Below are 12,082 nucleotides of genomic sequence, written 5' to 3' on the forward strand. Positions count from 1 at the left end.
ATACTACTCTAAAAGTGAAGTATGAATGCTTGGTTATTATAGGACTGTGAAGTTTAAAATGATTCAGAAAAGGGGACAGTTTGTACAATGTTCTATCTCATACTGGAATCTCTTTTCTTGTAACCCCAAATGAATATCTTATTTGATTATGTCAATGGATTATTTATCCATAACTCTTAAGGGGTTATCCATACAGGAGACTCACTCCCACAAGGGCCTGGAGATCCATGCTAAAGCACTGAATTATACAGGTTTTGCTGTAGCCAGATCCTTATAAGGCTTTTAGCTATAAATCACCTAGGCTGAATCCCAGTCTAACTTACCTTAAATCAAATTCCATGCCCTAATAAGATTACAAGTCTTTTTTTTTTAACTTCTGAGAAGAATACAATTCTGCAATGCCACTGAGTATGTCTTTCAGTATGTATTATTTAATATACTTGTCAAATGCTATCTTATGGCAATTTAAAAGAATTATTTGTATTTAAGAATAAGTGAAACTACAAAATGTTGTGGATAATTGGTTTAAGAATTTCATAAATTTAGCAACTCAGTTGTTAATTTTACCTATAAGATTCCTAAATATTTATCAGAAATGGAAACAATTAGGGTGTAAAAATAGGATGCTACAAGTATTTCTGGTGAACCTTTTGCAAGCTGAATAGACAGTACAGTGTAATGGGTCTAACGGGAAGACCGTTAAAAAAAATCTGATGGACCTAACTGAATCCTGGCTGCAGACTTTCCTAAGAACTCTAGGTAAAAATCATGAATATTATCCTTCCCAGGTTATACTGACACAGACGAAGGTCCCAAGAGTGTGTCACCTGGAGTCTGTGAAATCAAGATAACATATACAAAGCACCTAGCAAATTATGTGGTACAGAGGAAGTACTTAATAAATAGTAACCACCATTGTCATAATAACAATCTTCACCATAATTATCAGCATCATCAAAGCACTATAGTTTGTGCTTAATGATACAGAGATAAAAAAAAATTATATGGTCCGTGCCTTCAAAGAACTAATAATACCATGGAACGGCAAGACTTTAAAAGTGACTATTATCCAAATTACTAATATAAATGTGAACAACTGTTTCGGAGGAAGAGAGAATAGAACCAGGAAAGGCTTCAGAGAGGACGTGGCATCTGAACAGGATCACAGAGGATAATTAGAATGTATATAAATGCAAGTGTGGGAAAATATAATCCAGACAGAGAACAGCAAGAAAAAACCAGCAAAAGATTTCAAAGGACAAAGAATTTTCAGGGAGAGATTAAAGCACAGATGTGTGGGTGGTAAATTAGAGGAGAGAGGTAAGGAAAGATAGGCTTTCTCACCTAGGTAACCAAGAGACTGAATACAAGGCTGAAAAGGCGGTGCAGTTTAACTCTTTGACAGCACAGGCTCTGGTGGTGTTTGGCCCAGACTCACTGCCCACATTTGCCACTTCCTAACAATGTAACTCTGACCAAGAAGTCACTCAATAGAGCAGAGCCTCAGTTCCCTTATTCGTATATTGGAGATGGATAACAACACTTTCCTCATGGGGTTGTTGAGAAATTAAACAGAAACATAAAATAATAAATGCAAGGCATGTAATACAATGTCTGGCATATAACTAAGTGCTTCAATTAAAAGCAACCATTATTATTAAGGATATCTGATCTTTTTTGCATGAAATGGGAATGATAGAGGATTTCTGAGCAGTGAAACATCAAAATCATGTTACTGATTAGAAAAATGTATGGGCTGGGGCAGACTCAGGCACTTTTGATGAAGGCCTGAAGCTGTCTAATTCAGGAAGAAAGTAATTTAAAGCCCATTTCTGACTATAAGTCCTAACCAGTTTCACATAAAATGAAGCTGATTTTTTGGCCCTCTCACCCAAGTGCCAAGAAGAGATAAGTAGGAAAAGCTAGAATGTGAGGAAGCTGTTGTCATGAAGACAAGCTGGAAGTTATAATAATAACCAAAGCCCCCAATATGGTGAATAACAATGAAAACAATATTCATAATAATTTCTGAAGGTTTACTATGCACCATGAATTATATCACTTCATCATAACTATCTTTTTCTTGTATACTGTTATCATCTCCAATTTGTAGATGAGGTAACAATCTCAGATTTAAGAATTGACTATGGCATTTTGAGCTGAATGATATTAAAATTTTAAAAAAGATAAAAATAACTTGTCCAAGGTCACACAGTAAGTAGTGGCACCAATATCTGAACTTGGACTATCTGACTGCCTTGTCAATTACTATGCAATGCTACTGAACCAAACGGGCTATTCCAGAACAGTGTGGCAGTGGATTAAAATTACTCAGCTATGATGAGATATAGAAGGATTATCACTCTAATATTTTTCAAGTTATTAAATCAAATTAGTTCCTTTTACATTAGAACTTACTGTGCAGCTAATAACATTTGACATTTTAAAGGAACATGCTCTCATTTTGTGTTGATAGTTCAAACATATAATAAAATTATGAGAAGTCCTTCCTAAAATAGAAGCATTGTGTTCTGGAAGCACCGAGTCATAGATGTGCTTCACTATTACTGGTGCTCAAGAAAACGACACAGAAATGAAAGGCAGCTCTTTAGAAAAAGCTGTCAAGGACATTGACTAGACACTATCTCCTGAAGATTTTAGCTTCAAAATTGCTTATATTTTGATTTCAAATTGAGTTCTTAAAATTCACAGTCACTCTTACGGTTCAGCAAATATACAAACACATACACACAAACATATGCATAGGGAAACAGAGAGGAAGAACCGTGATAAAATTTTAACAACTGGCAAATCAAGGGGAAAAGCATGTCAGTATTTTTTTTTTATCTGTGTAATTTTTCTAAGGGTTTTAAATTTTTCAAGATTAACAGGTAAAAAACCGCAATTATAACTTTTATAATGTAAAAACTAGAATAGGAAGAAGGAAAGTGATTTCATTTCTCATCTTTTATGAAAGCAAGGAGAGGACTTAATGAGCTTAAAAATTAAAAAAGAACATCATTATTTCAAAACTTATTTACTTCATTATAAGGGTAATACAAATGATTTTTAAAAGTCATGAAATACACTTTGGGAGGCTGAGGCAGGCAGAACACAAGGTCTGGAGATCGAGACCATCCTGGCCAACATGGTGAAACCCCGTCTCTATTAAAAATACAAAAATTAGCTGGGCGTGGTGGTGCGTGCCTGTAATCCCAGCTACCCAGGAGGCTGAGGCAGGAGAATCGCTTGAACTAGGGAGTCAGAGGTTGCAAAGAGCCGAGATCGCACCACTGCACTTCAGCCTGGTGACAGAGCAAGACTCCATCTCAAATAAAAAAAAAAAAAGGTCATAAAATAGATAAAAAAAGAAAATCTCTCATAGTTTCACTACAAACACGTAGGGAATTGCTTCCACCTTTTTCCCTATAATGAGATTGGGGAGGGGATATTACACTGCAAATGATAATTTAGTACGCTATTTTTAAAAATTTGCTGATAAAGGAAACACACTCAGAATCAGTTTTGGTCCGAAAGATAGGAAGTCATGTGCAATACATAAACAGCTCTATTTACAGAAAAGAACAGCAGCAGCAACCATGACAACAAAACATGTCCATTGAATGACTAATTTGAGACTGTGTTACTCTGAGGTGGAATGAGTGTTCATCTGGCATTTCCCTATTATGTAATGTAGCATGGAAGACATTCACAAAAGTACAAAAGAATGGAAGGGAAATGTCAAGCAAAGAAAGGAAATTATTGAATCACAGCAAGAAGACAGATTTTTTAAGAATATAAATAAGCGAATCTTCAGTAAGAGAGTTTTCAGGTTCTGCATGGCATACACATACAATCAAAATAAAATATTCTTATATGAGAATGCAAGAAAGCAGAACTACATTCAAGCAAGCAAAACACACACATTTGAGATTTCTTGTAAATATAAATGTCATAGAATTTGAATCAAACCTGAAGGAACATTAGGTCTCTTCCATACTGAAAGTAAACTGGCAACCAGATTTTGTGGCTGGCTTGCATAGTAGATGCCAATGTTTCAAAATTAAGGAATTTCACCAACACATACATGAAGTCAGGATGTTCCACCGCATGTTTAAAAACTGGGTGACAGGAAAATAGTGGAAAAAACAGGCTGGGGCCAAGGCAGCAGGGGCCTCCTTTAGACAAGGCCTAGGTGAGCTTTCTAGTTCGTCCCAGGCTCTCCCACTGCCTACCTCCTCTGAAGGCCACTGGAGGAAGGGAGGGGTATATACAAGCGAGCTAACAGTGAGGGACATAAACACTCATTCCATGTAGGTCCCGTGCCTCCATTAATGAACTGACCCACATACTATGCACACTTTCCTCACTACATATGCAGCGGGTGGGGCAGACACTTCCCAGGAGAATGTCTTCTATTTATCAGCTCCCATGAAACAATCGGGGAACTGGCAAGGAATAAGAACTGCAAATAAACAAATGTGTAAATGGTACCGTAGTAATATAAAAAGGGTGAATTTAGGAAAATCATAATCAAGGTATATTAAAAGAAAAATGCCTGGAATGGTAAGGATGTTGGTATGCACACAATTCCAATCTCAAAGCTTGACTCCTGATAAATACAAATAATCTCCTTGTGGCTGCTCTCAAATATATGCCAACCTAGAATATCTTCCTGGGTTCTTGGAGAACTGTAGGCATAATTAAAAAACAAAACAGAGTATCTTCCTGGGCTTCACTTATCAGTGAAAGGGTGGACACACCTTGCTGTAACATGGCAGAGTGGATACTCATAAATATGGCCTGAAGTGATACAGAAATATTGCGGTAACAGAGTGGATCCACCATCCTGGATTGTGACGACAGCTTTCAGGAGGGCTCAACCTCACGAAACATAAGGCCTCATGCACTGCAGGTGCTCAGAGAACACTGGATGATCTACTTTGCCTCACAGAGCAGGAAGAAGGAAAAAAAATCAGATTCAATTTGCTCTAGGTGGGCCGTTCTTTCTTCTCTTTTATTTTTCCTCTCCTTTTCACTTTAAAAACAATGTGCAATCCCTAGATAACAGCAAAGAGTTTAATAAAGTCTGAATTATGTGACATTGTTCAATATTTATATGAAACTTTAAGGCAGCTGAAGCTGAGACTGTGGTGAAGTAGCAATTTAAACAATCAAACCCCCCCAAAAAACTCAATAGTTTTGAAGTAAATCTTTCTTCTTTTTTTGAATATTGCACAGAGGAATTCTGCATTAATTACCTGTTATCTGAGTGAATTTAATGCTATAAATCCTTTTGAGAATGACAAATATACTGGCTCACGCTTGTGGGACATTCCTGTTAGGAAGTTTTTTAAAGCTAGATGAAGGCAAGAAGTAGAAAGGGAAATAAGGCAAAGGCAGAGAGAAGCATGTCAAAGAGACAAGGTAAGACCTTGCTACTCAAAGTTCTTCCATGGACTGGGTATCACTTGGGAGCTGGTTAGAAATGCAGAATTTCAGACCCCACCCAGACCTACTCTATCAAAATCTGTATTTTAATAAGATCTCCAGGCAATTCCTATGCAGAATTAAGTGTGAGAAGCACTGCTTTACTTTCCTGTGCTGGCTCTTAGTGTCAAAAAGAGGTGATATGGTGAGAGAAATGCATACCTCTCTGAGCTTCATTTCCTAATCTGTAAAATTCAGATGACAATTTCTGTATGATAAGGTTGTTCTGAGGACTAAGGGAGTTACTGAATAGCACCTTTCCAAAGTCTTGGCATAGAGGAATTAGATGTTCATTAGGATTTTTTGTTTGTTTCCTTGTTTTTAAAATATTTGACAGCAGTATTTTCTTAATTCCAGGTTTGACAGATATATGCTTTTAGAACATTCTTAGTGTTGAATTTTTTTTAAAGAAAACTTACTTTTCTTAAGCAAACAAATTCTTAACACGAACTAGAAATTGATATTTTCTTCTTGAAATATGATGTTATAAATACACATAAATAATAAGAGACAGCATACACATTTATAGATTTCTTTTATGAAAGAAATTTCATATGCACAAATAATTAATTCCTTTGTCCTACCTTTAATTGTAGATGTATGAAAGGTCTTTGGCATGATTTAAAATCCTTAAAACACTCAACTCTCATGTCTAGAGGCAAGAACGTGGTTAAACTGAAAAGAAAGCCATCTGTACAGGTGGCCTGTCTAGGTGTTATAATTTTAACACAAAATTAGCACAGATAAAGGAAGAGGAAAAGAGAGCTTTTTGGGAGAGGCAGGAGCTGCAGTGAAAGAGCAAATGATTCTAACACTTTTTTTGTGGAGTCGTCAGGATTTTCTACATAGATGATCATGCTATGTGCAAACGTGGACAATCTGACTTCCTCCTTTCCCATTTAGATGCCTTTTACTTCCTTCTCTTGTCTTATTGCTCTGAATAGAACTTCTAGTGTGATGTGTTGAATAAAAGTGGTGAAAATGGGCATCCTTGTCTTGTTCCAAACCTTGGAGGAAAAACTCAATTTTTTCTCATTAAGTATGATGCTATGGGTTTGACACAGATGGCCTTTACTGTATTATGTTCCTTCCATATTTAGCTTGTTGAGTTTTATCATGAAGGAATATTGAATTTTATGGAATGCTTTTTCAGCATCTATTAATGAATTTGGTCAAGCTGCAGATATAAAATCAACATACAAAAATCAGTAGCATTTCTATATGCCAATAGCAAACAATCTGAAGAAGAAAGAAAGCAATTTCATTTACAAGTCAGCTGTGAAAAAAATACCTAATAATATACTTAACCAAGGAGGTAAAAGACCTCTACAATGAAAACTATAAAACACTGATGAAAAAATGGAAGAGGACACAAATAAATGGAACGATATTCCATGTTCATGGATTAGAAGAATACTGTTAAAACATCCATAATACCCAAAGTGATTTACAGATTCAATGCAATCCCTATCAAAATATCAATGGCACTCTACACAGAAACAGAAAAAAAAAATCTTAAAATTCATATGGAAAGGCAAAAGACCCTGGATACCTAAAACAAACACAGCTGGAGGCATCACACTGCTTGACCTCAAAATATACAACAAAGCTATGGTAACCCAAACAGCATGGTAGTGGCATAAAAACAGATACATATACAAATGGAACATAATAGAGAACCCCAAAATTAATCCATGCATTTACAGCAACTGATTTTTGACAAAGGCTCCAAGAACACACACTGGGAAAAGTACAGTCTCTTCAATAAATGGTGCTGAGAAAATTAGATAACCACACGAAAAAGAATGAAACTGGACTTCTATCTCTCACCATATATTACAAATATCAACTATAAATGAATTAAAGACTTAAATGTAAAACCCAAAAATATGAAACTAGTAGAAGAAAACACAAGACAAAAGTATTATAAAATTGGACTGAGAAAAGATATTTTGAATAAGACCCCAAAAGCTCAGGCAACAAAAGCAGAAACAGACAGATGGAATTACATCAAACTAAAAAGCTCTGTTATGTCAAAGGAAACAATCAATAAAGTGAAGAGACAGCCTACAGAATTGGAGAAACTATTTGTAAACTATACATCAGATAAGGCGTTAATATTCAGGATATACAAGGAACTCAAACAACTCAATAGCAAAAATATAAATAATCTGACTTAAAAGGAGCAATAGTGACCTGAAGTGAAATAGACCTGAAGTGACATTTCTCAAAAGAAGACATGCAAATACCCAATAAATATATGAAAAAAAATGCTCGACATCACTAATCATCAGGGAAATGCAATCAAAATGACAGTGAGTTTTCATTTTCCCCGAGTTAAGAAAAAAAATAACTAATGCTGGCCAGGGTGCAGAGAAAAGTGGACCCTTATACACTGTTGGTGGGAACATAAATTAGTCGCTGTTAGGGAAAACAGAATGGAGGTTCCCCTAAAAATTGAAAATAGGACTACCATTTGATGCAGCAATCCCGTTACTGAGTATACATCCAAAGGGAATAACATCAGTATGTTGAAGAAACTTCTGCACACCCATGTTTATTGCAGTACTATTCATAATAGCCAAGATACAGAATCAACCTAAATGCCCATCTAAAGATTAATGGGTGAAGAAAATGTGGTACATATAAATACCATTCAGCCACAAAACAGTGAAATCCTGTCATTTGCAGTAACATGGATGAACCTGGAGGACATTATGTTAAGTGAGATGAGCCAGGCACAGAGACAAATACCACACGATCTCACTCATATGTGGAATCTAAAAGATTTCATGGAAGTGAGAGTAGATTGGTGGTTGCTGGGAGTTGGGGAGCAGAGTGTGGTGTACTAGGAGAGGACGGTCAATAGGCACAAAGTTACAGTTGGGCAGGAAGAATAAGTTTTGGTGTCTTATTTATATAGTAGGATGAATTAGAGCAAATACCCATGTATTGTATATTTCAAGATCGCTAGAAGAATTTGAATGTTGTCACCACAAAGAAATGATACATGTTTAAAATGATGGATATGGTAATTATACCAATTTTATCATTCATTCATTGAAACATTACAGGTTGGGCGTTGTGGCTCATGCCTGTAATCCCAGCACTTTGTGAGGCCAAGGAGGGTGGATCACCTGAAGTCAGGAGTTCAAGATCAGCCTGGCCAACATGATGAAACCCCATCTCTACTAAAAATACAAAAATTATCCGGGCATGGTAGTGGGCACCTGTAATCCCGGCTACTCGGGAGGCTGAGGCAGGAGAATCACTTGAACCCGGGGGCAGAGGTTGCAGTGAGCCGAGATCCCATCACTGCATTCTGGCCTGGGTGACACTGCAAGACTCTGTCTCAAAAAACAAAAAAAAAAAAAAAAAAAAAAAAAAAGAACATTACATTGTACCACCTAAACGTGTACAATTATTGTGTGTCAATTATACAATATAAAAAATTAAATTTAAAAGAAGCAAATAATATTTGCATCAACATAAAAAGATAAAAGAGGACATGTGGGCCTGGCGCAGTGGCTCATGCCTGTAATCCCAACACTTTGGGAGGCCGACGTGGGTGGATCACCTGAGGTCAGGAGTTTGAGACCAGACTGACCAACATGGCAAAACCCCATCTCTACTAAGAATACAAAAATTAGCTGGACATGGTGGCAGGCAATTGTAATTCCAGCTACTCGGGAGGCTGAGGCAGGAGAATTGTTTGAACCAGGGAGGTGGAGGTTGCAGTGAGCCGAGACTGCGCCATTGTACTTCCAGCCTGGCCAACAAGAGCAAACTCCACGTAAAAAAAAAAAAGAAAAGAAAAAAAAAGAGGACGTGAAAAATGGCATAAATTGCTTAAAAATTAACCACAAAACCACATATTTGGTGGTGGCTGTCAACACATGCACTCAAATTCTTACTTTTTTATGCAGTCTCCCTGCCAGGAATATTGTGGGATAGTATATACATAACCCAAAAGCATGTAATGTGCTTTTGTGTGTGACATCTGAAGATGTATATGAGTGAGGTTATTGTCAAAACAGACACTATGGAGGGTAGTGGGTGTCCAGGTTATGAGTTTGGGACTGAGGGAGGCTTGGTATGTCAACAAGAGAAAGGGTGAGGGGCACATAAGGCCTGGCACGGGCTCCTAGAGGTTAGGCTGTCATGTCATGCCAAGGAATGAATAACTTGACAGCATTACTTTCAAAATCCACAATAACCATATCACTGCAAAGACCCTCCTTAGAACTACCTGGAAAACACAAACTGTCTCCCCTAGATGATTCTGCCAGGTGCATTATTGGGAAGGGAAACCCAAACAAAGGGTGTCAGGTTTAACTGTGCAGATTCAAAAAATACTTGCCAAAATAAAAGTTATGGCTTTGTTTTTCTTCTTTTTATTTTTTAGGCAAAAAAAAAAAAAAAAAAAAAGTTCTCTGAAGTTTCTTTTGTTAAGAAGGCTTTGTTATTCTGTGTCTCTAGAATAAAAAGTAAGATCTTGTTCTGTTTCTCCACTCCCTAATGTCTTCTTCAAACCTTAAAAAACAGTCTGTATTAGAGTAAGTCTCAAATTGGATTCTTCTGTAAACGTGGCTAGAAATTCACTAAGATGAAATACTGCCTTTTAATATTCTTGAGATGCCCCAGTGGGACAAGACTAAGAAGCCCCATTGAAAGGGGACTAAAACAGTACCTGTTGAGACCCTTTCATCTTGGGAGACCAGGATCCAGAGTCAGCCTAGCCTGAAAGAAGCTGCGCTGCGGATGGCAGCTCCCTGGGAGCTGATGGCTGAGAACTCACTGACAAGCTGGGAGTGAGATGGCAGTAGTGAGATGGGCCCTGGAAGGAGGGTAAGTGTTTCCCACGTAGCATCTCTGCCTGCTCTGCTACCTGCTGCATGTGGAGTTGCTCAGGCAGCTTCCTCAGCCTGGAATTACCATCATCTATCTCCTCCAAACAGACTGTTCTTTCACTGACCAGCTCTGTGTCACCCCTTGTGTATCCTGCCCTAACTACTCCCTCCACTCTGCCTTCTGTACAGCGCTTCCCATTCTATAGCACAGTGACTATGGCTACAGGCCAGATCGTCTCCCGCGCAAGACTGTGAGCTCCTTGGGGTTAGAGGTTGTTTCTTATCCATATGACTCCTTTGTGACTTCACACAGAGCATGGCACAGAGTAAACCCCATGAATCATTAATTTCTTTTTAAAATCGGGGGCCTAAATTAGCCACTGCTACAGCGACTTTCCTATCTGAAGAACCATAAGCAAAGGGGTTTAGAAACACTGTGCAAGGTAAAAAGCACGGGAAGTAGAAACCCCTGCTTGCAATGTTTTTCCACCTTCACCTACATAGCTCATTCTATATTCTGTCACTCAAACCTTGTGCACAAAGCCATGCAGGGAAATAGACTATGAAGGCATCGGCATCTGAGTACTACATTATCATTTAGAGCCAGGGTGGAATCCTGGTTCTATTTCCCAGCTGTATGACTCTGGGCAAGTCAACTCCTCTCTCTGAGCTTTTAGGTCCTCCTCTGAAAATGGCAACAACATATACAGCCGTTAGAAATAATAATCACAATAATCATTAAATCTACAAAGATCAATGGAAAGTCTTACAATAGCAAGTAGATAAGAGAATACAAAAGTTTATACATTTAAATTGAAACTATATAAAAAGATATCTGCACCTGAACAATAACTGGTAGGTAACATGCAAATAAAAATAATTATATTACCAAATGGAATTATGGGGAGTTTTCTCAAACCCATCTTCATTATATTCTATCATATTTTCAATTAAAGAAAGAAAATTGGGGAGAGGACTTACATGGCTGACATGGATATTAGGCATTGTAAAGACTTTTATGAATTTCGAGGACATGCATAACTGTTCATTTGTGGTTGCTCTTTTTCTTATCAGTATCATTGTACCTGAATGAAAAATTCTTTCTAAAAATAGCATCGGAGATACACATCTTTCTAGGCTTATAAAGCCTGTACACTTTGAGTCCTAAAACAAAGCTGACTTTAATTTATACAAAGTTTTTTTGTTTTTATTTTAAAGAGCATATATACTCACCCTGGGAATTTCCACACTTAATCAATACAGTTAATGTGTTGGAAATGAGAATCCCCTATCTTGTAGGAAGCTCAGAGCAGTTTCTGCCCTGACAGAATGATCATGATGATTATTATTTCTAATGGCTTTCAAGGAGGCAAGAGAAAACAATGCTCTCCATGGCAAGCAGGACCTGGAGCTGGTGGGGTCAGCACAGAGCTAAGAATACCATGTCTCCAAGTGCAGAGCCGCTCCTTTCCCACCTAAAAATGTGGCTTAGTCTTGGAAGCCTCATACATACGGATACTAAGAGCAATTCTAATACTCTGAGGAAAGCCAGTTAATGAAGATGCACATACTGTTCTAGTCTTACCCCTTGTCCACACTGGCGTGGACTGCTGCAACAACACCTTCCAGGACCTTCAGTGGGTCCCTTGGCCCACCAAGGTCAGCACTGCCACCACTGTGAAAAGAGAGATAAACTGATTCAGAAAAGGATCACTCAAGTCTCAGAAATAAACTTGGTATTC

The 12,082-nt window shown here is 37.6% G+C and overlaps 1 protein-coding gene across 11 annotated transcripts in view; it reads right to left on the reverse strand.

Annotated features, from left to right (window-relative positions):
• Nucleotides 1-12,082, reverse strand: part of NBAS (NBAS subunit of NRZ tethering complex) — a 782,426-nt gene that overhangs the window by 441,588 nt on the left and 328,756 nt on the right. For all 11 annotated transcript variants that reach the window (XR_007076390.1, NR_052013.3, XM_017004317.2 and 8 more), the window contains one exon: nucleotides 11,926-12,015. Coding sequence is in view for 9 of the 11 variants with exons in the window: in XM_017004317.2 (XP_016859806.1) it covers nucleotides 11,926-12,015 (90 nt within the window). In the remaining 2 variants the exon portion in view is untranslated. The remainder of the gene's footprint in view (nucleotides 1-11,925; nucleotides 12,016-12,082) is intronic.

This window comes from Homo sapiens, chromosome 2, assembly GCF_000001405.40.
Source record: "Homo sapiens chromosome 2, GRCh38.p14 Primary Assembly".
NCBI lineage: Eukaryota > Metazoa > Chordata > Mammalia > Primates > Hominidae > Homo > Homo sapiens.